Source organism: Homo sapiens, chromosome 9, assembly GCF_000001405.40.
Source record: "Homo sapiens chromosome 9, GRCh38.p14 Primary Assembly".
In the NCBI taxonomy this organism is placed as follows: Eukaryota; Metazoa; Chordata; class Mammalia; order Primates; family Hominidae; genus Homo; species Homo sapiens.
The window spans coordinates 127490973-127515254 of NC_000009.12; the positions used below are offsets into that span (position 1 = coordinate 127490973).

Below are 24282 nucleotides of genomic sequence, written 5' to 3' on the forward strand. Positions count from 1 at the left end.
GGTAAACAATTTTGGCCACAACAAGCACGTCCATGCCCCAGGAACGCGAGGCCATGAAGGAACGAATTCTTGTTCAAGCCCCTTGACGAGGTTCCCAGGCCCGCAGGTTCCCCTCATTCCAGAGCCTCCCCAGCCTCCCCAGAAAGGCTTCTTAGACCCACTTGGTCACCAGAGAGTAGCAGCACAAAACTGAACTGTGGTTAATGTGAGTAAAAAAAAACCCTGTCTCGTCTTCTGTTTAGATTAAGTTAATAGAAACTGAGTTATTGCAGCTGACACAGCTGGAGTTAAAGAGGAAGTCCCTGGACACAGAGTCACTCCAGGTATGTAGGGCTCCCTGCCCCTGCCCTCCTTCACGTGGTGAGACCCCCACCTGGTGCTCCCTCCCAGCCTCTGGCAGCTGCTCACCAGCCCCTGGGAGTCAAGGGCTTCCCCAGCAGACAGAGGGCAGAGCTCCTCTGTGGCTGTGACACCAGAGGACACCCCCCAGCCCCAGAAGGCCCAGCGCAGGCCAAGGTTAGAGGTGGTCAGCCTGTTGCGAGGCAGGAGGGTCAGAGGAAGGAGGGTTTCATTGCCAAGGCTCCCCTGCTCATCTCCATCACTGTGTCTCCTGTGCTGGGTGCGGGCCCGCCGCTGAGCTCCTGTCTCTCTCTGTAGGCCGTGCTTTAGGCCCCCAGGCACACATCCTCCAGGGCTGGAGCTTTTGGGTGTCCCGGGTTGTCTGGAGGAGAGGGCCCAGCCGCATCTGTGTAACTCCCTGCAGGCAGCATCTCTGGGGCTCCAGCCCGGGAGTCCTGCGCACACAGATGAGAGGGCAGCAGGGACTGGCAGCTGGCGTCCTGGACTGGATGCCTGGGAGCCGGGTGTGGCCCAGCACAGCCCTGCTGTGCAACTTTGGCAGGTGGGGGAGGAGAGGCAGCCCTTTCCCCTCTCTGAACCTCAGCCTCTCCAGCTGCAGACGGAGGGCTGGATGGGATGGTGTGTGAGGACATGTGCCTGTGCCAGGAGTTTGAGCAGAGCCTTCGGTCTGTCACTGTCCCTGTGTCTGTTCTCAGTGGAGAAGTCTCAAGCCATCCCATGGACTCCTCAGTGCAGTGAAGGGTCTGGGATCTGGATCCCTGGTCTCAGGTGCACCGCAGGTGTGCTGTGTGCCCTTAGACAGGCCTCTGCCCCTCCAGGCCTTCTTCCCCTACTCCATAAGATGGCAGCGGTCCTCCAGGCCCAGCCTGTGCCATCAGGCCATCGGAGAAGGCTGAGCTAGCAAGGGAAAGCCCTTTGTGAGCCTTGAAATGATCTCCAGAGATGAGGGGACTGGGACTGCTCTCAGAGAAGCTGCGGTCATCATGCCTGGCGGGTGCCCTAGTCCCTGCCCACAAGTGTGGCAGGGCTCTGGCTGTTGGGGCCCCCATGGGGTTTCCAAGAGCAGGCGCAGGAGTGAAGCAGGGACCCCAGGCTCTGGTTTGCACGCACCTCCATTTGTGTGGGGCCCCACACTGCTCCCCGCCATTTGCTTCTGCCCATGTGCTCTGTTGTCTGGGAGACCAAAGGCAGGCACCTGTGGCTTGTCATTTCTTTTGTTTGATGTTTCTTACCATCCCATTGTCATCAGTCACCAGGATCCCATGCCTGACTTAACCCCACAAGGAAGAGAGATGCGGGCTTAGGGTAAGGGGGCAGAAGGGCCTCTTAGCTTTGTCCCCCAACGCAGCCTGGAGGCATTGGGCAGAGAACCGAGTGAGCGGGAGGCCAGGCCCTTCTCCATCCTGCCACTGCGGGACTCCTGCGCTGCCGCCAGCTCACGGTGGTGCGGGGTGTGGTCTTGTTCGCAGGAGATGATCTCGGAGCAGCGCTGGGCCCTCAGCTCCCTGCTCCAGCAGCTGCTCAAAGAGAAGCAGCAGCGAGAGGAAGAGCTCCGGGAAATCCTGGTATGTGTTTGGCTTCTGTGCTCAGCATCACACAGGCATTTGCTTTTCTTTAACAGACTTGCCATTTTTAGAAACACCTGTTATTCAAGTAAGAGTTATTCATCAAAGAAAAACTGGAAAGTACAAAGGAAAATAATTGCATTTCCAAGCGTTATCTCCTGCCATTTTTTATTTGTTTGTTTGAGACAGGGTCTCACTCTGTCGCCCAGGCTGGAGTGCAGTGGCGCAATCTCAGCTCACTGCAGCCTTGACTTCCTGGGCTCAAGCGATCCTCCCACCTCAGCTTCCCGAGTAGCTGGGACTACAGGCATGTGCCACCATGCCTGGCAAATTTTTTTATTTTTTGTAGAGATGGGGTTTCGCTATGTTGCCCAGGCTGGTCTCCAACTCCCGGGCTCAAACGATCTGTCTGCCTTGGCCTCCGAAAGTGCTGGTTTTACAGGCATGAGCCACCGCGCCTAGCCTCTCCTGCGGTTTTGATGCATATTTTCCAAACATTGTGATGCACCTTTATAGCTGTTCGTGTATGCGCCTTTTAAACGTGGCATGCTGCATACCCTTTTCGAGCAGCCTGTTTCCGCACATTCTTTTCAAGTCATTAAACTATTCCTTGACGTCCTTTCTCAAGGCTGTCCGTGGCCCCTATTGTTGAGTATGTGGATTACTTCTGGTTTTTAAACTTTTCTAGGCAATGCTCTCCGAATGCCTTTGTAGTCGAGTATTCGGGAACAGCCATGAGTATTCACTCCAGACAGGACTCACTATGTCCAGGGCAGGCCGTTTGATAAGCTTTTGGCAGGAGTGGCCCAGCTGTCCCTGTCCCCTGATGGGTTTGACACTGGCACATTTTCAGCGTGGCAGAGGCCCCCTTGAGAGTGTCTCCTCTAGACCCAGAGGGCACCCAAGCAATGAGGACAGAGGCCAGGCTCACCATCTGGGGTGGAAAAGACCGAGTCGTTCCTGTGTCCCCGTGAATGCACCAGATGCCCTCTGAGCTGCGTCCTAGGCCGGGTCCTGTGCAGGTTTAGAAGAGAGAGACCAGCTGCTTCTGGAGCCCTGAACAAGCCAAGTGGTGCCTGTGCCCATCAGAGGAAGCTGCCTGTTCCTCACGGTGCCCTACTGCCATCTCCTACGCATCAGGTTACTTTGCAGATGGTGCCTTGGCGCTGTGCCTTAGCAGCCAGGTACTATGGCTGGTGCCCCTGCCCTTGTAGGCCTTGGGGGTCACCACCAAAGGAGGAAGCACCGCCCCAGCAGAACACAGCCCATCCGGCTCCTGGGCGCTGGAAGAGAGGGGCTGCAGCCCGGGAGGGCCAACGACGGAAGGGAGCAGTGGGCGTGGCCAGGTCCAGGAGGGGCCCGCAAAGGGCAGTCAGGCCCAGCAGGGATTGAGAAACGCCTGTGTTGATCCCACTCCCCATGTCATGCCAGCCCTCACTGAACAGCTCCGTTGTTCTGAGCACGGGCTCTGGAGCAAGACAGGCCTGGGTCCAATTCCTGGCCCCACCCTGGGCAGGTTACTCATCACCCTGAACCTCAGCTCCCTCACCTGGGAGGTAGAATCTCCTTCCCGGAGTTGTGAGAATTAATGATGGCATCGTTAGGTGCACAGCATGGTCTGGCACATGGCACTGTGAACATGTCAGCTACGCCTGTTGTCACCGTGGCTGTTATCAGCATTGTTTGTTCACTGCTGTATTCCCAGCACCTAGAACAGTACTCAACGAAGAGTTATCGAATGGCAGAATAAAAGAATCACATTCAGGCTGGGTGCAGTGGCTCACGCCTGTAATCCCAGCACTTTGGGAGGCCGAGGTGGGCAGATCACTTGAGGTCAGGAGTTTGAGACCAGCCTGGCCAACGTGGTGAAAACCCCATCTGTACTAAAAATATAAAAATTAGCCGGGCATGGTGGCACACACCTGTAGTCCCAGCTACTCGGGCACTCCAGCCTGGGTGACAGAGCAAGAGTCCATCTCAAAAATAAAATAAAAGTACCAAGTGCTGTCCACCCGCTCAGAGGAGCATGGTTCATAACCATCATTTTGGTTTTGTTTTGTTTTGTTTTTTTGAGACGGAGTTTCGCTCTTGTTGCCCAGGCTGGAGTGCAGTGGCGCGATCTCAGCTCACTGCAACCTCTGCCTCCCGGGCTCAAGAGATTCTCCTGCCTCAGCCTCTCGAGTAGCTGGGATTACAGGCATGTGCCGCCATGCCTGGCTAGTTTTGTATTTTTAGTAGAGGTGGGGGGTTTCTCCATGTTGGTCAGGCTGGTCTTGAACTCCCGACCTCAGGTGATCTGCCCACCTTGGCCCCCCAAAGTGCTGGGATTACAGGCATGAGCCACCGCGCCTGGCAACCATCATTGTTATTACAGGTTTTATTACCATTTTGTGACTAACATTGCCTGCTTCATTCCTGGCAGACGGAGTTAGAAGCCAAAAGTGAAACCAGGCAGGAAAATTACTGGCTGATTCAGTATCAACGGCTTTTGAACCAGAAGCCCTTGTCCTTGAAGCTGCAAGTAAGGACTGCTGGTGCCTGTCCCGGCCAGGGAGCCCTGGGGACCTCCTCCCAGAGGCGCCTGTGGTGCCTCCACCATGCTCTGCCTCTTGTTACTTTTCTGGTGACTCTAGCATGCCAGATCCTGTGCCAAGCCCCAGTGGAGACAGAAGCGAGAGTAAGGGAGTGTTCATTCTGGTGAGGGGGACGACAAGGCACTGGTCACTGCTGTGCAGGGCAGAGACCACTGAGCCCACAGTAGAGCAAAGCCTGTGCCGGGAGCCACTGTCTGTCCAGCACCTGCGGGGACAGAGAGGCAGTTGAAACAGCCCCCTCTTGGTGGATGTTCAAGTTGCTTACTATTTTCAGGTTTGCAGACAGAGCGGCAGTGAACCCCTGGGCCTATCTATCTATCTATCTCTGTGTGCCTACCTATGAGTTTTTGTAGGAAAAATCCCGAGTACATTCTATGTATTATGTTATAAATATTCAAACCCTTCATTTCCTGTTGTAAACAGTGGGTTCTTTTCTTCCTTCCTGCTCATGGTACACGTTTCTGTCTTGCAGGAAGAGGGGATGGAGCGCCAGCTGGTGGCCCTCCTGGAGGAGCTGTCGGCTGAGCACTACCTGCCCATCTTTGCGCACCACCGCCTCTCACTGGACCTGCTGAGCCAAATGAGCCCAGGGGACCTGGCCAAGGTGGGCAGCAGCCGTCTGCATGGAGGGGAGGGGCACGCAAGGCCGCTGTCCTGACCAGCCGGGGGTTGATCTGCTCCTTGTGTAGTCCTCGTTGAGGCCTGTCCTTACCTAATGGCCCAGGGCCACCTTGCTTCCAGATGGCCAGAACACCTGCCCATCTGCCCCAGCCGCCTGTGTGTGCCCTGCACACTGTCTCACTGGGAAATCCTGGGGAGGTGGGTCCTGCTGACCTGATCAGACTGGATCTTCAGACTGGAGGGACAAGACAGGCCCTTGGGGCTTATCTGATCCAGCCTCTGCCCTGCCTCATGGTGTCACAAACTGTCGTGGCCACAGCACTGCCTGAGCCCCTGTTCCTTTCTGGGCACAAGCTGAGCTCTTTACAGCACATTAATCCACTTATTCTTCAAAACAGAATACTCATCGCTGTGCCAGCTAACTTTGTAGCACCTGCACGTGCGGGGCACCATTTTAAGCACTTTTTGTATTCGAACTCACTGAATTCTCCCGACAGCCCAGCAGGGTACATATCATTATCATCATCTTTCAGTTGAGACCCAGTAAGGCAATAACTTGGCCCAAGGTCACACAGCAGAGTGAGGTCTCCACCCCAAGCAGTGTGGCCCCAGAGTTCGTGTTCTTTTTCATGAGACTCTCCTGCCCCTCCCTGGACAGATGCAGACACCAGGGTCCAAGAGGACTGGATGGCACTGAGGGTCACAAGGCCATGCCGCTCAGGCTCTGGAGGCTGAGGGACTGTGGGGCTCGTGTGCTGCTGCTGCTTAGTGGCTTGGCCTCCAAGGCTTCTCTCCTCCCCCACCTGGTGGGGAAGTGGCTGAGGTGTGCAGGTGAAGCCTGGCACCGGGAAGCAGTTGCTAAACCATAGCTGTTGCTAGTGCTGGTTTCCCTTTGGGCCTCAGTTTCCCCCCAACCCCTGCCACACTGATTGTTGGGCTGAGGCCTGGGGAGGTTGCCCTCACAGCTATGGTGCCGCACTGCCTCATCCTGACCGTGGGCCCCGCCAGGCCCCGGAAGGCTTCCACATTTCCAGCAGGAGGTGTCGACGGTCCTGTGAGCCTGGGCCTGTGCCACGTGGCTCACACCATTTAGCGGGCTCCCGCCCAGGCCACAGTCTGCACTTCCTTGAACTGTCACAGGTGGGCGTCTCAGAAGCTGGCCTGCAGCACGAGATCCTCCGGAGAGTCCAGGAACTGCTGGATGCAGCCAGGATCCAGCCAGGTACAAGCACAGCTCCAGCCTCTTCCAGGCAGGGCTCCAGCCGTATGTGTGGGCTCTGGTGGGGACAGTCATTTGCTTACATTTCAGGATGACTCCTGAGGGCTGGTTCTAGCCTCTGCTGGTCGGTAAGGTTTCCTCCCAAGGAGCAGGCTTAGGGATCAGTGAGCCCATTTTACAGATGGGAAAAATGGGCCACCAAATTGGGAGAACAGGAGACCTCCACGTAGCAGTGGAGGGGCCCTCCCAGCTCCCTGTCCCATAGCCTTCCCTCAGTCCACCCTACAGACGCTGGGATCCACACACTGAGGGACTTTGGACTAGAGGGAGAAATAGCCCGTCCCCAGGGCCTGCAGTATACCCAATGCTGGGCCTGAGGCATGCCTGTGGACATGGAGAGATGTCCACAACAGGCTGTGAAGGGGCAAAGGCAGGTCGTGAGGCCCGTGGGGAGAAGGGGCAGGTGTGGAGTCTGGGGTCTGCCATGTGCTGAGCATGATCTGGGAGCCCGGCACCTGCCCACCGCTGTGCATGAACCACGTTGAGGAACCTCCGGATCCATCCCGTGAGGAGGCACTGTTGTGGTCCTCATTTTCAAGATGGGGAAACTGAAGCGCAAAGAGGTTAGCATGTCCCCCATCAGGTCCCATTGCTGGCAGATGGTGGAGCCACTGGGCTTGCCTGCCTCCCTGGGGAAGAGGTGAGGGGCCAGAGCAGGGGTGAAGGAGAGGGCAGTCTTGTGCTGCTGGGCTGGGCGAGGCTCTGGACAGGGCATTTTTAGCCAGAGCCAAGGAAGAAGCGGAGGAGCTGAGGCGAAGGTGGAGTTCTGGACTGGACCTCAGTGGGGAGGCCCCGGGGCTCCAGGGGGCTGGGCTGACTGCAGCCCCAGGATAGCTTCAGGCACCAGTTTTGCAGCTACTTTTACTCCAGGGACACTGACTCAACCCCCAAAAAGTCATTAAACTTCTTAGCTTTTTGATATCAAGTCATGTGCAGAATAGGCCCCTTCTGGATGTTCCTGACCCCCCAGCTCTCAGACTGGAGATCAGAAGAGTTTTCCATCAGGAGTTGGGGTCACCCCCGGCAGACAAGCCTCACGTGAGCAGGAGCCACAAACAAACAGGTGCCCTTCACCCTGAGTGGGGTGCAGTGCCTCTGAGCCCAGCAGTCCTCAGGACCGGCTGCTTCTCACTGTTTGAGTCATCCCTGGAGCAAACAAGCAGGTTCTTCCTCTCCATAGCAGATTGGCCATGAGGATCTGTGGCCACATGCAGAAAACGGATGCCTGGGCTGCTCAGGGCTTCCTGCTTGTGCCCATTGGCAGGGGAAGGGGCCATGGTGGGATCCGTCCTCAGTTCCAGAAGGCAAGGGAAACCCTCAATTTCCTAGCAATTCTCTTATTACTCCCAGAAATCGGTATACTTTATATCAAATATAGAGGCTGGGGCCAGGTGTGGTGGCTCACACCTGTAATCCCAGCACTTTGGGAGGCTGAGGTGGGCGGATCACCTGAGGTCAGGAGTTCGAGACCAGCCTGGCCAACATGGTGAAACCCTGTCTCTACTAAAAATACAAAAATTAGCCAGGCGTGGTGGCGTGCACCTGTAGTCCCAGACTCAGGAGGCTGAGGCAGCAGAATTGCTTGAACCCAGGAGGCGGAAGTTACAGTGAGCCAAGATCATGCCATTGCATTCCAGCCTGGGTGACAAGTGAAACTCTGTCTCAAAAAAAAAAAAGAAAAAGAAAAAAACAAATATAGAAGCTGGGTGCAGTGGCTCATGGCTGTAATCCCACACTTTGGGAGGCCTACGTGGGAGGATCACTCAAGCCCAGGAGTTTGAGACCAGCCTGGGCGACATAGGGAGACCCCTTCTCTACAAAAAATAAAATAAAATTAGCTGGGTGTGGTGGTGCACACCTTAGTTCCAGCTACTCGGGGGGCAAAGGTGGGAGGATCGCTTGAGCTTGGGAGGTCGAGGCTGCAGTGAGCCATGATTGTGCCCCTGCACTCCAGCCTGGAAAAGAGTGGGACTGTCTCAAAAACAAAACAAAAAAATTAAAAAAAATTAGCAAGGCGTCATCCCAGCTACTCTGGAGGCTGAGGTAGGAGGATTGCTTGAGCCTGGGAGGTTGAGGCTGCAGTGAGCTGTGATCATGATACTATACTCCAGCCTGGGTGACAGAGCAAGACCCTGTCTAAAAAAAAATATATATATATATATATATGAATGCCCCCTCGAAATGGTGGTTTGGGGGGAAGCACTGATAGCCTTAGAGGGTCTAGTGTTGTAACAGCCTTTAAAAAATCTTTAGTTGTGGCCGGGTGCGGTGCCTCACGCCTGTAATCCCAGCACTTTGGGAAGCCGAGGCGGGCAGATCACGAGGTCAGGAGATGGAGACCATCCTGGCTAACATGGTGAAACCCTGTCTCTACTAAAATTAGCTGGGCACAGTGGCGTGTGCCTATAGTCCCAGATACGCAAGAGGAGAGGCTGAGGCAGGAGAATCACTTGAATCCAGGAGGCGGAGGTTGCAGTGAGCCGAGATCGCACCACACTGCACTCCAGCCTGGCAAGAGTGAGACTCCATCTCAAAAAAAAAAAGAAAAACTTTAGTTTTTCCTGTTATAAAAAATAATGCTTGTAATTCAAGCCGTAGAATAAAGTGAACCGTGATCAGGAAGGGAACGAGGGATAGAGTCAAGGAAGTGGGTGGCTCACGTTGCATGATAGAAAAAGAGACTTAGCAGCCGGGCACGTTGGCTCACGCCTGTAATCCCAGCGCTCTGGGAGGCTGAGGTGGGCAGATCACCTGAAGTCAAAAGCTTGAGACCAGCCTGGCCAACATGGTGAAACCCCACCTCTACTAAAGATACAAAAATTAGCCTGTCGTGATAGTGGGCACCTGTAATCCCAGCTACTCGGGAGGCTGAGGAAGGAGAATTGCTTGAACCTGGGAGGCAGAGGTTGCAGTGAGCCGAGATCGCGCCACTGAACTCCAGCCTGGGTGACAGAGCGAGACTGTCTCAAAAAAAAAAAAAAAAAGAGACTTAGCATTTTGTAAGGGCTGCTTCTGATGTCTTAGCAGGGGATGCTGACTCCAGGGCAGAGCAGCCAGCATGCTGGGGACTCTGTGGGGCTGGGGGCAGGGGAACAGCCTTGCGGGGGGCCTCTCATTCTGCTCCCCTGGGTCACCTGATGGGCAGCAGCCCATCCTGTCTCCTGGGCAACCAGGTGGAGAAGCCAAGAGCTGGCCCTTCACTGAGAGCTCCTGCCCCAGGGATCTGCAGCTGCATCACCAGATGGCCACATGGCCCTGGGTTGAGTGACTCCCCGTCTCTGAGCCTCAAATGTCTCATCTCTGAAAGTGCCAAGCCCTACTTGCAGGGTGGCTATGAAGCGTCCCGGGGACATTAGAGATCAGAGGACCCACTTAACAAGCGCTGCGGCCATCCCTGCAGAGAGAGACTTCACTCCCATTCTGCAGATGGGAAATGAGGCTCAGAGAAGAGAAGAAGAGAGTGTGTGGCAAGGAGAGCACTTCCCTCAGATCTGAGAGCAGAGGCTCCCCCACCCTCCAGCTCACTCACCATGGGGATGGGCAGGGCCACAATGAGCCCCCAGGGGTTAGGGTCAGCGGAGATGACCCTGGCTCAGTCTGTCTGTCTGGTCCCCACAGAGCTGAAACCACCAATGGGTGAGGTCGTCACCCCTACGGCCCCCCAGGAGCCTCCTGAGTCTGTGAGGCCATCCGCTCCCCCTGCAGAGCTGGAGGTGCAGGCCTCAGAGTGTGTCGTGTGCCTGGAACGGGAGGTAAGTCCGGGGCCCTCCCCACCCGCCTGCCCTGCCTGTGGCCACCCTCCTCAAATTCTGCAGGTACAGGGTTGTCTCTGAACGTGTTTTCTCCAGTTCTCTAAGTAGACTGTGCTCATCTAGAAAGAAGGCAGGAAATAAAGATGACCCCTGGTCCCATGACCCAAATATGAGCTGCGCTCACATCATTTTCCGGACCTTTTTCTTTTTGTTCCTACTTAATAAATACATTAGGAAAAAATTTCCCAAATCATGAAATATCAACAACATGATTTACCCTGCAGAGGCTTTAGAAAATCATCTTTTGGCCAGGCATGGTGGCTCACGCCTGTAATCCCAGCACTTTTGGAGGCCAAGGCAGGTGGATCACCTGAGGTCAGGAGTTTGAGGCCAGCCTGGCCAACATGGTAAAACTCCATCTCTACTAAAAATACAAAAATCAGCCAGGCGTGGTGGTGGGCGCCTGTAAGCCCAGATACTTGGGAGGCTGAGGCAGGAGAATCGCTTGAACCCGGGAGGCAGAGATTGCAGTGAGCCAAGATCCCACCACTGCACTCCAGCCTGGCAGACAGATCGAGATTCCATCTCAAAAAAAAGAAAAAATCATCTTTTAAAAATTCATTAACACTTACTCTAAAAATTACACAGAGCAGTGAATGAAATACAAATCCTCCTTTGCCTCCACTGAGGGATCCTACTTAGAAAAGCAGCCATGTTTGCAGTTTGATGATTCCAGGGTCTCCCGTTGACCTGACTCATGCCATGATATGGATGGACCTATTGGTTCCAAATATAATCCCTGTTCTGGGGCCCTTGGCATTCCAGACAGCTTTGAGCGGAGCTTGGATCAGTTCCTGAAAGCAGGAGATGCTGAGGCAAAGTGTGGTCCTGAGTCAGTGGCTGCTGCTCCGGGTTGGGATTGTTTGTAGACTGAGGAGTTCAGGGCCTGGGCAAGTGCATCAACAAGAAAGAAGCCTGAACACCCTGCGTGCCCTCCGGCAGGGGCCGGCGGAATAGGCCTCCGTCGCCTGTCCAGAGCGCAGGAATATAATCCCCAGTTTTATTTAAGAAAGAATCAGTTGGGGCATTTATATGGGTATTTATATTTTTTACAAACTATAGAGAAATAGACAGCAAACTGCTAACAGAAGGCCTAGGTTACCTGTTTCGGCCGTGCCTGTTCTGTTTCTGTGGTGGTCAAATGCCCGAAGGCCCCACTATCAGGCGTTTATGGTAAAGATGCTAAAGAATAATGAAGGGGGCCGGCATGGTGGCTCACGCCTGTAATCCCAGCACTTTGGGAGGCCGAGGCGGGCAGATCACTTGGGGTCAGGAGTTCGAGACTAGCCTGACCAACATGGTGAAACCCCATCTCTACTAAAAATACAAAAAATTTAGCCAGGTATGGTGGTGCACGCCTGTAGTCCCAGCTACTTGGGAGGCTGAGGCAGGAGAATCACTTAAACCCGGGAGGCTGAGGTTGCAGTGAGCTGAGATCCCACCACTGCACTCCAGCCTGGGCAACAGAGTGAGACTCTGTCTCAAAAAAAAAAAAAAAAAAAAAAAAGACGGGCCTGGGACTCCTGGAACCCGGTAGGGCCAGCCACATGCTCCCGCTCTCCCTCCCCAGGCCCAGATGATCTTCCTCAACTGTGGCCACGTCTGCTGCTGCCAGCAGTGCTGCCAGCCACTGCGCACCTGCCCGCTGTGCCGCCAGGACATCGCCCAGCGCCTCCGCATCTACCACAGCAGCTGAGTGCTGCCCGCCCACCTGGGCCTGGTCCTAGCCCTGCCTCGGCCACTGTGAGCCCCGGGCTCCTGCTCAGCCTTGTGCCAGCCAGACTCGTATGAGGCTCCCCCCTGCCCTGGGCCCCTTCCCCACTGCCCAGGAGCCCCCATCCTAAGCTCCAAGCATGTCTGGGCCAGGCAGAGGTGCTCCTCATCCATGACACCACCAGTCTGAATGGTCCTGGGGGCTGGGGCTGGAGAGGCCGCTGCACCACCACCCGAGCCTGGGAGCCAGCGTCCCAGCCTAATCACGGATCTGCTGCCTCCCAGCTGTCTTGACTGAAGGCCACCGCCCCTGCAGGAGCTTGGGTCCTCATCTGGGGGCCATGCACAGGCCCGTCCCACCCTGCATGTGGGAAGGGAGCAGGAGGGCCTGGCTGGGTGAGGGGAGGCCTTCCTGGGAAGGCGTGTGGTGCAGGCCTGTGCTCACAGTGGCACCAGCAACCCTGGGTCTCCCTCTCTGCTGCTCCCCAGAACCCCGGGGCCCTCCTGCTCTCCACAACTGTCCCTCCTTACCCCATGTAGCTCGATCCGAAGCAGGAGTGTCAATAAACCTGTCTTCAGTGCGCTTCTGGCCTGAGTCATCACTGGGTTCTCATGGGAGCCCAGGGAGGGGAGGGGACGAGGTCTGGGGATGGGGCTCGGGCAGAGGGCAGCTCTTCTCGGGGAAGGAGCCAGGAGTGCGCCGCACCTCAGTCGAGAGGAGAGGTCAGGTAGGGCCATCTCGAATGTCGTGTTATCCCAGCGCCCCCTTCACAGGTGGAGAGACCAGGGCCCAGAGGCAGCCAGGGCCGGTGATGGCTGCGGCCTGTGCCTCCATGAGCGGAGGAGCCCTGTGTGTTCCGTCCATTATCCCAGTGAGGCAGCTGAGGCTGATGGGGGTAAATGCTCAGGGCCTTGCAACTGGGACATGGTGATGCGGGGTTTGAGGCCCAGAAGCATCCTCACCTTCAAGCCCGTGCGGTTGTGCAGGTTGGTCACTGCACAATTCTTGGAGCCATATACACTTGCACTCGCTGCAGAGGTGCACGTTGATTATGCATTTTCCGGCAGACGGCGTTGAGCCAGGTGCAGCCTCTTCCTTGGGCTCGTGGCAGGCCTGCTTGGAGCACCTGGGCTCTGCCTCCAGCTCATTCAGTGATCGTGGCCAGTGTTTGGGCTCCTTTCCCTGTGCATTCAACACAGGACGTGATGCAGCCCTGACCGGCTGGTGGCCTCCAGGGGGCGCTGAGTGCTTGCCCCAAGTACAGCGTCCGCAGAAGCAGGCAGGAGAGTTCAGGTCCTGGGGTGGCAGAACAGCCCTACGCCTGGGCCTGTTTCCCTCTCACTGAGACCATCAGTCCTGTGCACTGAACAGGGCAGGCGAATACCCTTTGTCGTGTGAGTCATTTCCCAGGCAGGAGCTGGGTGGCCTTTTCCCACCCACAGTTCCCCCTCAGTTCCCCCTCCTCCCAACACCCTCCTGGGCTCAACTTGGCCAAGAGGGGAGAGACTGAGGCAGGTGGGGCTACCTCCTGGAGCGCAGTGCTTTGCAGATCTCCTTACGCTCTCACTAGGGCCCAGGGAGGCCTCATGGAGGATCTCGAGGCTCAGTGACCTGCCAAGGACAACAGCAAGGGACAGCCGCATCCCTGGTCTCCGGCCACACAGCCCCGTGTTCTGCACCTCAGCCCTTGTTGACCGAGGGAGGCCCAGGCCCAAGCCCTAGGCCACCATGGACAGGCTGGCACCAGGGAAGCCAACATCCCCAAGGTGACTGGCTGCCACCCCACCAGTAGGGACATGTTTTTACCCATAGATGGGGCAACCCACCCCCAACAGCTGCAGGGGCTCGAGGGCTGTTCCTGTACCACATAGGCTCAGCCCAGGTCCCCACCTTCCAAGGCCTCAGTGTACACATCGGTGAAATGGTGGTGACGACTGTGTCCACTTTCTAGAGCTCTCTCGAGGCTGCTGTTCCTGCACACAAGGCGCTTGGCCCACAGTGAGCGCTTGGTAAACAGGAGTGTGATCGGGAGCGTTGAAGGAGCTGGCATCACTGTTTGGATCCAGCCCGAGCCTGGGCCCACCCCTCTGTGGGCACCCCAGGGCCCTGAGTGGCCTTGAAGCTGCTGCCTGCTGCCATCCCTCTTGGACTCACCATCACCCAAGGCTGCCCGAGGGGCACCCGGCACAGGTCTGGCTGAGGAAGCTGCCTGTGCTGCCACCAGAAGGCAGGTCACCTTGGACAAGTCCCTTCTCGCTGAGCCTGTTTCCTTCTCTGTAAAATGGAATAAGAACTCAGATCATAAACATAGAGGCACTCAGTCAAGTGAGAAGCCCCGAAAGCCGAGCCGTATGGGGGCCTAGACATAGTCCCCAGCCCAGGCCCCCCGTCCCCTACCCCAACAGCACCACTCAAGGCAACTGGCTTTAAATAAAGCGTTTATTGATTAGTAGAAGCATGAACAGTGTGCATAATATTTTCAATACAATATCAGGGAGGGATGATGGGAACCCCTCAAAAGGCACTAGAGGCGCAGATCTTCGGGACAAGAGGGAAGAGATGCGCCAGAGACCAGGGCTGCGGCAGCTGGGGGTCCCTGAGTGCCAGGCGCCACCACACGTCCTGTGGGTCAAGGCCCCTCCTCTGGGGAGCAGGTCTAGGGCACGGAGGATGCAGGGCTGGGAGGGGACCCCACCTCGGGGACCCAAAAGGAGTCCATTTCTGCCCTGCCCCCCGCAAAGCAGCAGGGGAGGGGGCCTGGGGGTCCTGGGGTGGGGGATCCCAGGCCTGGGCCCATCCTGGCTTGACCCTTGTCCCAGGAACAAGAAGCTGAGGAGGGACGACAGCCAGGCCCAGAGTGACTCACAAGGACATCCAAAGAAGGGACTGGATTTTCAGAGGGAGGTGACTTGGTGACTGAGAGGCAGCAGAGGCCAAAGCCTGACCCCAGACCCTCAGGGAGGGCCCACCCAACCTGTACCCCTCAGGAGCCCCGTCCGGCTCCCCAGGCAACCACTGAGGACCTCGGGGTGGCCTGTAGAAGACAGAACCCAGCCCCATTACACCCCTTGCTGCCGCTCCATCCCCAACCACCAGAGGGACAGGGACCAGAGGGAGACCTGTGGGCCAGGCGGGCAGGAGGGAGGCAGGCTGGGGCCGGGAGAAGGGGATACACAGGCCCATAAAACCTCAGGCTCCCCATAACCCTCACTCAGCCATCTCACTCACTCACTCCCAGCATCCCCCAGGATGGGGGTCCCCTCCTTCACTCAGGACACTTCCCCTCCGCAGACCTGCACGTTCTGGGCCTTTCTCATTTCACCCCAGGCCTGCCCACCCCATGAGGCACCCCCTAAATCTCATCTCTCCACCCAGCACCCCCAGCCTGGCTCCAGCCTGAAGACCCCCTCCTTCCCCTTCCCTCCAGAACAGTGGGGAAAGCGAGGCTCGGTCCACCCCTAACTGCGGAAGGAGCAGGGCCAGGAGGGCAGCAGTGCTCCCTCTCCCGGTCCTGGCCCAGCCAGCTCCTGGGTGAGTGGGCGGGAACCCACTGGGCTCACACCAGCTTTCACCTCCCTCTCTCCAGGAAGGATGGCAGCACCCATGAGGGGATGGAGGCCACAGAAGGACAGGAAGGGAGGGGCTTTCCAGCCCCCCAGCAGTGTCCAGCCCTTGGCACAAGCAGGAAAACCCCAAAACCAGCCCCTGCATCTGAGATCATCCCACAGAAGAGAAAACAGGGAGCAAGAAAGTGTTGACTGAACCCAATAAAGTGACTCAGGTGGGCCCGCTCCCTGGCGGTGCCACACAGCCCTGCCCCGCCTCCACCCACAAGGCACAGACCAGGGTGCCCTCCCCAGAGCTGAGCCTGCCTGGGTCCGGAAGGGAACGGCCTGTGCCATGTGCAGCAGTCAGGGACCCACTGGCCTAGAACTCAGTCTGCACCCCTGCACTGTCCTCGGTGGTGGTGTGGAGGGCGGGGTGGCTGCTGGGGCTGGACACCTGCTCTCCAGTCTCCTGGTCGCTGGGCTTGGGGGGCCCAAGGTCCACAGCCTTTCCAGGCAGGAGATGCTGGAGGGGTGAGGCAGGCGGCGAGGAGGCCTCGGGGGCGGCCTTAGGCTGGGGACTCTCCCCAGCGGGGGCCCCGTTGAGCAGGGGGCCGGCTGGTGGGGGGCTCTCAGGCCGCAGACCTTGGGCCAGCAGGCCTCGGATCTCAGTGACACCGTCCGGGGACGCAGGTGGTGGTGACTCAGGGCTAGCCTCAAAGGGCAGCCCCACCTCCTCATCCTGGACCACAGAGACCACCTGCTTGGCGCGCCGTCGCTTTTCCGAGAGGGTGGCTGACTCCGGGGTGCTGGGGCTGGGGCTGCCGCCCCCGCCGCTGTTGCTGTACTCCTCGCCCCAGTCGATGGGGGCGCCCTCGGCCAGCAGGTGCAGGTTGGGGTCGCTGTTGTGCATGACCATGCTGTCCCGGTAGAGGTTGTGCTTCCTCTGCACCGCGGCCTCCTTCACAGCTACAGGGCCACAGGGGAAGGGTCAGGACACAGCACTGATCCCACAGCCGCCCCTGTGCTGGACTCTGCTCAAAGAAGACCCGTCTCATCCCGCCTTGGGGGTCTGTGGTTGGGATGTGACTCATTCCAGGCCTCGTTGCTGAAAGCAGCAAGGCCGTGATGCTATCTCCAGGCCCAGGCTGCTGACCACATGTCATCTAATCACTCCTCTGACCCTCCCAGCAAAGCCAAGGACGCGAGAAGAAACTAAAGCACAGAGACGCAAGGCTAAGGCTGCTCCGGAGGCCACACAGCGAAGAGTGGGCTTCACCCAGACCCCAGGTGCAAGTCTGGGCTTTTCTTTGAGCCTTAGCTGACCCCCTCAGCTGCCACCACTTCTCAGCTGCGCCCCCAGCATCCTCCTGGCAACAGTCCCCACCCCGGGACGGCACCCACCCTGCAGGATGTCCTTCATGACGGTCTGCAGCACCACCTCCTCGTACGTGTTTTCCACCAGGATGAACCTGGCAAAGTCCTCGAAGATCAGCTCCTGGAACCGGGGCAGCTCCTGCCCGGGTGGGGCGGCAGAGATGAGAGGTCAGGGCCAAGGGTAGAGGGAGGCCTGTGGGCTCCATCCCCCAACTTAGGGCCCAAACGGCTGGAGCAGGTGGGGGCTGCTCACCGACTTGCAGGTAGGGGCCAGCTTCTTGAGCAGGAACGGGATGCTGATCTGCAGCAGCGCCTCCCGGAAGAACCTCTTCCGCACAGAGCTGCTGTCGTAGTCGTATTTCTGCAGGGAACAAGGGGGTCGGGGGTCTGCAGGTCAGTGGGCTCCATTGGCCCTGAGGGTAGGACGAGGCCAGTGGTCTGACCCAAGCCTCCGAGTCCTCATCCGCACAAGAGGACCATGGCGCCTCCTTGCAGGGACAGCAATCCTGGTGGTGGCCGGGGATGAGGCTCGGGGCTCGGCCTCGCCTAGGACGGTCCGGGGCAGGGCGTGGGGCCGCTCACCTTCAGCACCCGCTCCAGGACCCGCTGGATGGACTTGCACAGCTCCTCCTTGGTGGGCCCCTTCCCCAGCTCCTGGTGCAGGAGGGTCTCGAACGTATACACGGCATTGTCCATTTGCTGCAGGGCATACCGCGGACATGTGAAGCCCCCAGGGTGACCACAGCCCCTTCCTGGGTGCCGCTGAGGGGTCCTCATCCTCAACCAGCCCCCCACCCCGAGGCCTGCCAGGGAGGAATGGCAAGCGGTCTATGCCCACTCACAGCTCTGCACGCTGGAGCAAGTCCCTGCCTCAAGGCAACAGGAAATATGGGAAGGGGCCTGGGGGCGCAAGGAGAGCTTCCTGGAGGAAGGGGTCTCTAAGCTGAGACCTGGGAAGTGAGTCAGAATTAGCCAGGTGGGCAGAGGCACAGATGTTCCAAGCAGAGGAGGAGAGAGCGTGCCAGGCAAGCGTGGCTATGGCATGACGGGACGGAGCAGAAGGGACCCCCTGGGCGAGGGGGCCTGTGGAAGGCAGTGGACAGGGTGTGGGGTGGGGGTCGTAGCCTCGGGTCTACCTCCCGCATGTGGATCTGGGCTCGCTGCTTGAACACGGACGTGCTGGACACATCAAATCGCTGCTGCAGCCCGTCCAGTCGCAGCGACTCCATCTTCTCATAGCAGCTCTGCATCTTCAGGGGGTGGTACGCCAGCCGGGACAGCTTCTCCATGTACTGCAGGGGCCGGGGCCGCGGGGGCTGAGCAGGGCCGCCCTGTGGCCAGGCAGCACCCCCCACACACTTTGCCTGGGTCCTCGAAGTCCAGGCCCTGGGGCTGGCGCCTGCTACCAGGGATGGCCACCTGGTGCTCATGGCCACAAAGGTAAACCCAGGAGGGCCCAGGACAGAAGCATGAGGCTCTGAAGGCATGGAGGGCGCAGTCCAGTGGCACAGCGCTGTGGAGAGGCAGCCTCGGTGCCGGCAGAAGGCACTCATCCCTTCTGAGGTGCTGGGTGACCTTGGGCAAGTCATTCACCCTCTCTGAGCCTCAGTTTCCTCAGCTTCAAAATTGGGAGAGAGCTTTCCTGCTCTCCAAGGTCCTCTCCAGGTCTCAGATTCTGGGATTATTATGGTCTGTGGACTCCCCATTTCAGAGTATAAAGGAGGAAACTAAGATACAGGATAAATTCAATCTGACAACTATGCGGGCTCCGGGCAGCCAGCCCAAGATGGAGACTGTGGAAGGACGTTCACCCCGAGAGCCAGATAACTGAGGTCAAGTAAGGGCAACGGCTGTCTCCATTTGGAGGGCGCGTGACTTGTGAATTCTTCCTTATCAATCTCATTACTCCACCTGAAGCCCGCCCTTCCCTCTCCCCTCCTCTCCTTCCCTCCTTCCCTCCTCTCCTTCCCTCCTTCCCTCCTCTCCTTCCCTCCTTCCCTCTCCCCTCCTCTCCTTCCCTCCTTCCCTCTCTTCTGTTAAATTCTTTTCTATTTTAGCACCACTCTTGGTTTCTAAAGGCTGGTGGCCGGGAGCTAATGTTCCCTCTTTCCTCAAACTGCAGGCCCCACGAGGACTCCAACAGCCCTGGCCTCACAGCCTCTGCCCCTAGTCCCCAGCAGCCCCTCCCCGTCTACAGGGACGGCCTTGGAGGGGAACGGCTGCCCGGAGTCACGCAGCCGGGGCCCTCTGGGACAGACCAGACCTACTCTCAGGAGACCCCCTCCTAGGGGCGGTGCCGGCCTCACCTCGCCCAGCTTGTCAATGCCGCCCTCGTTGATGACGTTCAGGTTCATGTCCGTGACCTCCTTGAAGAAGACATCTCGCACCTCAGTGAAGCCCTGGCTGGTGGGGACCATCAGGGCCTCCAGGATGGATGGGATGTAGGGCTGGACATGGTTCCGCACGCACACCTCTGCCTTGGGGAGGATGAAGGCTGTGCCCCGAGGGAGCCGGGTCAGCAGGGGCTCCCCAAGGAGCACCTCCCAGCCATCCCAGAGCCCAGGTGCTGGAGGCTACTGTATTACTATTATTATCATTATTATTATATTTTTTTTGAGACGGAGTCTCGCTCTGTCGCCCAGGCTGGAGTGCAGTGGCGCGATCTCAGCTCACTGCAACCTCCACCTCCCAGGTTCAAGCAATTCTCCTGCCTCAGCCTCCTGAGTAGCTGGGACTACAGGCGCGTGCCACTGTGCCCAGCTAATTTTTATATTTTTAGTAGAGACGGGGTTTCACCATGTTGGTCAGGCTGGTCTCAAACTCCTCACCTCGTGATCCACCCGCCTCGGCCTCCCAAAGTGCTGGGATTACAGGCATGAGCCACCATGCCCGGCCTATTATTATTTTATTTGAGACAGGGTCTTACTCTGTTGTCCAGGCCGGAGTGCAGTGGAATAATCAAAGCTCACTGTAGCCTCAAACTCCTGGGCTCAAGCAATCCTCCCACTTCAGCCTCCTAATATTATTATCATTTTTATTTCAACTTTTATTTTAGATGCAGGGGGTACACTGCAGGCTTGTTCCATGGGTACATTGTGTGACCCTGAGGTTTTGGGTAGGATTGATCTCATCACCCAAGTAATGAGCACAGTGCCCAAAAAGTAATTTTTCAGCCCTCTCCCAACTCTCTCTTCCCATCATATTATTATTGTTATTAATTTTTGAGACAGAGTCTCGTGCTGTCGCCCAGTCTGGAATGTAATGGCACGATCTCAGCTCACTGCAACCACTGCCTCCCAGGTTCAAGTGATTCTCATGCCTCAGCCTCCCAAGTAGCTGGGATTACAGGTGTGCACCACCATGCCCGGTGATTTTTTTTTGTATTTTTAGTAGAGACAGGGTTTCACCATATTGGCCAGGCTGGTCTCAAACTCCTGATCTCAGGTGACCCGCCCACCTCGGCCTCCCAAAGTGCTGGGATTATAGGCGTGAGCCACCGCGCTCAGCCCCCATCAATACTTTTATTATTATTATTATTTTAAGAGGCAGAGTCTCACTGTGTTATCCAGGCTGGTCTCAAACTCCCTGGGCTCAAGTGATCCTCCTGCCTTGGCCTCCCAAGTGCTGGGATTACAGGCATGAGCCACCGTACCTGGCCAATATTATTTAAAAAAAAAAACCACTGGGGGCAACATTAGCAAGCTGAATGATTTCAGAGAAATAGTGGATAAAGATGAGAAATCCATGCAGGAAAAATGACAAGGTGTTCTGAGATTGGACTCTGATCTTTCTGAAACCATGATGGCAAAAAACTAAGAAAACTGCCATCTGACAAGAGATTAATAATCAGAAAATATAAGGATCTCAAACAAGTCTATAGGAAAAAAATCCTAGTAATCCAATTAAAAATGGGCAAAAGATTTGAATACATATTTCCCCAAAGAAGACATATAAATGGCAAACAGGCATATGAAAGGTACTCAACCCAAAACAGGCATATGAAAAGGTACTTGACATCACTGATCAGAGAACTGCAAATCAAAACTACAATGAGATGCCACGTCACCCCAGTTAAAATGGCTTTATCCAAAAAAAAGAAAATAACAAATGCTAGCGAGGATGTGGAGAAAAGGGAACCTCCGTACACTGCTGGTGGTGTGAAAGGAAAATATCTTAGGCCCCCAGAATTACGAAGCTAAAGGGAAAAGTCAAGCTGGGAATTGCTTAAAGCAAACCCACCTCCCGTTCTATTCAAAGTCACCCCTCCGCTCACTGAGATTAATGCATATCTGCTTCCCTCCTTTGGAGAGGCTAATCATCAACTCAAAAGAATGCAACTATTTGTCTCTTTTCTTCCTATGACCTGGAAGCCTCATGCCTGCATTGAGTTGTCCTGCTTTTCCTTCAAGTTCTCCCGCCTTTCCGGACTGAACCATGTTCATTTTACATTTTTTTTTTTTTTTTGAGACAGGGTCTCACTCTGTTGACCAGGCTGGAGTATAGTGGCTCGATCTCGGCTCACTGCAGCCTCTGCCTCCCAGGTTCAAGCAATTCTCATGCCTCAGCCTCCTAGAGCAGCTGGGACTACAGGCATGCGCCACCACATCCAGCTAAGCTTTGTATTTTTAATAGAGACGGGGTTTCACCATGTTGGCCAGGCTGGTCTCGAACTCCTGACCTCAAGTGATCCACCCGCCTCGGCCTCCCAGAGTGCTGGGATTACAGCTTGAGCTGCTGTGCCCGGCCCATTTTACGTATGTTGATTGATGGCTCAGGTTTCCCTAAAATGTATAAAACCAAGCTGTGCTCTGACCACCTGGGCACATGTCATCAGTTCCTCCTGAGGCTGTGTCACGAGTGCGTGTCCCCAACTTGGCAAAATCAACTTTCTAATTTAACTGAGACCTGCCTCAAATTTTCAGGGTTCACAGTGGGAATGTAAATGAGTACAACCACTATGGAGAACAGTTTGGAGGTTCCTCAAAAAACTAATAGAGCTACCACACAATCCAGCAATCCCACTGCTGGGTATATACCCAAATAAAGGAAATCAGCCCATCGCAGCGATATCTGCACTCCCGTGTTTGTTGCGGCTCTGTTCACAACAACCAAGATTTGGAAGCAACCTAAGTGTCCATAACAGACGAATGGATAAAGAAAATGCGGTACATATACACGATGGGGTACTATTCAGCCGTAAAAAAGAACGAGTTTCAGTCATCTGCAACAACATGGTTGGAGCTGGAGGTCATTATATTCAGCCAGGCACAGAAAGACAAATATCACATGTCCTCACTTATTTGTGGGATCTAAAAATTAAAGCAAATTGACATTTTGGAGGGGGCCTCCCCTGTGGGAGCAATAAAAAAGGTAAAAACAGACAAATAAACAAGCAGAAAACAAAGCAATTGAGCCCATGGAGATAGAGTAGAAAGATGGTTACTAGAGGCTGGAGAGGGTAGTCGAGGGCGAGGGGGAGATGGGAATGGTTAATGGGCACAAAAAGTAGAAATGTCAGAGGCATTTGAATCAGAGCAACTGTATCTTAAATAGGAGCTGGGTAAAATGAGGCTGAGACCTACTGGGCTGCACTGCCAGGCGGTGAAGGCATTCTAAGTCATGGGATGAGATAGGTCGGCACAAGATACAGGTCATAAAGACCATGCTGATAAAACAGGTTGCAGTAAAGAAGGTGGCCCAAAACCCACCAAAACCAAGATGGTGATGAGAGTGACCTCGGTCGTCCTCACTGCTACACTCCCGCCAGCACCATGACAGGTTACAGATGCCATGGCAACGTCAGGAAGTCTCCCTATATGCTCTATCTAAAAAGGGAGGCATGAATAATCCACCCCTTGTTTAGCATGTCATCAGAAATAACCATAAAAATGGGCAACCAGCAGCCCTCGTGCTCTGTCTACGCAGTAGCCATTCTTTTATTCCTTCGCTTTCTTAATAAACTTGCTTTAACTCTATGGACTCACCTTGAATTCTTTCTTGCCCAAGATCCAAGAACCCTCTCTCGGGGTCTGGATCGGGACCCCTTTCTGGTTACAGAATGAATAAGCCCTAGTATTTGATAGCGCAACAGGGTGACTATAATCAATAATAATTTAATTGTACACTTAAAAGTAACTAAAAGAGGCTGCACAGGTGCAGTGGCTCAGGCCTGTAATCCCAGCACTTTGGGAGGCCGAGGCAGGAAGATCACTTGACGTCAGGAGTTTGAGACCAGCCTGGCCAACATGGTGAAATCCCATTTCTACTAAAAATACAAAAATTAGCCGGGCGTGGTGGTATGTGCCTGTAATCCCAGCTACTTGGGAGGCTGAGACAGAAGAATCACTTGAGCCTGGGAGGCAGGGGTTGCGGTGAGCTGAGATGGCACCACTGCACTCCAGCCTGGGCAAGAAGAGTGAGACTCTGTGTCCAAAAAAAAAAAAAAAAACTAAAAGAATATACTTGGATTGTTTGTAACACAAAGGATAAATGCTTGAGGGGATAGATACCCCATTTCCCATGATGTGACTATTACACATTGCATGCCTGATCAAAACATCTCATGTACCCCATAAATATGCACACCTACTATGTACCCACAAAAATTAAAAATGAAAATGAAAATAAAATAAAATAAGAAAACTGCCAGCCCAGAGGTGTCAGCAGTGTTCTGCTTAGCTAGAAGTAGACAAAAACTCCTTTAGGATGGGTCTTGCTTCTTCGTTTGAACAAAAAGAACAACAGCAATGAAAAATACCTTAGTAGATTCAATGAGCCTCTTGGTTTTACAAAAACTGGGCTGATCCTCTCTGGAATAGTGTGGCTGGCTCTGCATAATTATGTAAAAGCCTTCTTCCTTTGGGTGGGGACCATCTCCAGAACATTCTGACCAAAGCATTTTCACTCAAGAATATTTAGATGTCCACCCCCATCCCAGCCCAGCTAACGTTCTTTGTTCCACACAAGAAATGTCAATGCTCAGTGTCCTATCCAGCTGTCAACCAATACTCAGGATCTGGCTAGTAAAGAATAACCTACAGGAGACCAGGCACGGCCACTCATGCCTGTAATCCCAGTGCTTTGGGAGGCTGAGGCAGGAGGATTGTCTGAGGCCAGGAGTTCGAGACCAGCCTGGGCAACACAGTAAGACCCCCTTCTCTCTCTCTCTTTCAAAAATTTTTAAAAGAGATAGAGTTTTGCCCAGCCAAGACCCCTTTCTCTACAAACAATTTAAAAATTAGCCAGGCGTGGTGGCCTGCACCTGTAGTCCCAGTTACGCAGGAGGCTGAGGTGGGAGGACTACTTGAGCTCAGGAGGTCACGCAGTGAACCATGATTGTACCACTGCTCTCTACCTGGAAGACAGAGCGAGACTCTGTCTCTTAAAAAACAGGCCGGGCGGCCAGGCGCGGTGGC

General features: G+C 55.4%; 2 protein-coding genes across 15 annotated transcripts in view, besides 4 other annotated features; one reads left to right on the forward strand and one right to left on the reverse strand.

Annotated features, from left to right (window-relative positions):
- LRSAM1 (leucine rich repeat and sterile alpha motif containing 1) overlaps positions 1-12529 on the forward strand; it is a 52016-nt gene extending 39487 nt beyond the window's left edge. For 6 of the 11 annotated variants that reach the window (NR_168892.1, NR_168891.1, NM_001384142.1 and 3 more), the window contains 7 exons: positions 243-323; positions 1830-1925; positions 4348-4446; positions 4992-5123; positions 6281-6362; positions 10038-10171; positions 11802-12527. Coding sequence is in view for 9 of the 11 variants with exons in the window: in NM_001384142.1 (NP_001371071.1) it covers positions 243-323; positions 1830-1925; positions 4348-4446; positions 4992-5123; positions 6281-6362; positions 10038-10171; positions 11802-11927 (750 nt within the window). In the remaining 2 variants the exon portion in view is untranslated. Of the gene's footprint in view, positions 1-242; positions 324-1829; positions 1926-4347; positions 4447-4991; positions 5124-6280; positions 6363-10037; positions 10172-11801 lie in introns of all 11 variants that reach the window. The other 5 variants (NM_138361.5, XM_047424059.1, XM_047424058.1 and 2 more) reach the window with 4 other exon arrangements.
- Positions 3232-3751: an enhancer, noted in NCBI's record as "H3K4me1 hESC enhancer chr9:130256483-130257002 (GRCh37/hg19 assembly coordinates)". NCBI's record gives its function as "activates a minimal SCP1, AML or CMV promoter by ChIP-STARR-seq in naive H9 embryonic stem cells {active_cell/tissue: H9 hESC(naive)}" and the evidence as "EXISTENCE:reporter gene assay evidence [ECO:0000049][PMID:30033119]".
- Positions 9598-10099: an enhancer, noted in NCBI's record as "H3K4me1 hESC enhancer chr9:130262849-130263350 (GRCh37/hg19 assembly coordinates)". NCBI's record gives its function as "activates a minimal SCP1, AML or CMV promoter by ChIP-STARR-seq in naive H9 embryonic stem cells {active_cell/tissue: H9 hESC(naive)}" and the evidence as "EXISTENCE:reporter gene assay evidence [ECO:0000049][PMID:30033119]".
- Positions 13280-14153: an enhancer, noted in NCBI's record as "H3K27ac-H3K4me1 hESC enhancer chr9:130266531-130267404 (GRCh37/hg19 assembly coordinates)". NCBI's record gives its function as "activates a minimal SCP1, AML or CMV promoter by ChIP-STARR-seq in naive H9 embryonic stem cells {active_cell/tissue: H9 hESC(naive)}" and the evidence as "EXISTENCE:reporter gene assay evidence [ECO:0000049][PMID:30033119]".
- Positions 13315-13434: an enhancer, noted in NCBI's record as "active region_29043". NCBI's record gives its function as "activates an Ori minimal core promoter by ATAC-STARR-seq in GM12878 lymphoblastoid cells {active_cell/tissue: GM12878}" and the evidence as "EXISTENCE:reporter gene assay evidence [ECO:0000049][PMID:35858748]".
- NIBAN2 (niban apoptosis regulator 2) overlaps positions 14371-24282 on the reverse strand; it is a 73689-nt gene continuing 63777 nt past the window's right edge. For all 4 annotated transcript variants that reach the window (NM_001035534.3, NM_022833.4, XM_011518925.2 and 1 more), the window contains 6 exons: positions 19174-19361; positions 18004-18159; positions 17450-17566; positions 17121-17228; positions 16895-17006; positions 14371-16459 (listed from right to left, as the gene is read on the reverse strand). In NM_001035534.3, the coding sequence (NP_001030611.1) occupies positions 15873-16459; positions 16895-17006; positions 17121-17228; positions 17450-17566; positions 18004-18159; positions 19174-19361 (1268 nt within the window). In that variant the 3' untranslated portion in view covers positions 14371-15872. The remainder of the gene's footprint in view (positions 16460-16894; positions 17007-17120; positions 17229-17449; positions 17567-18003; positions 18160-19173; positions 19362-24282) is intronic.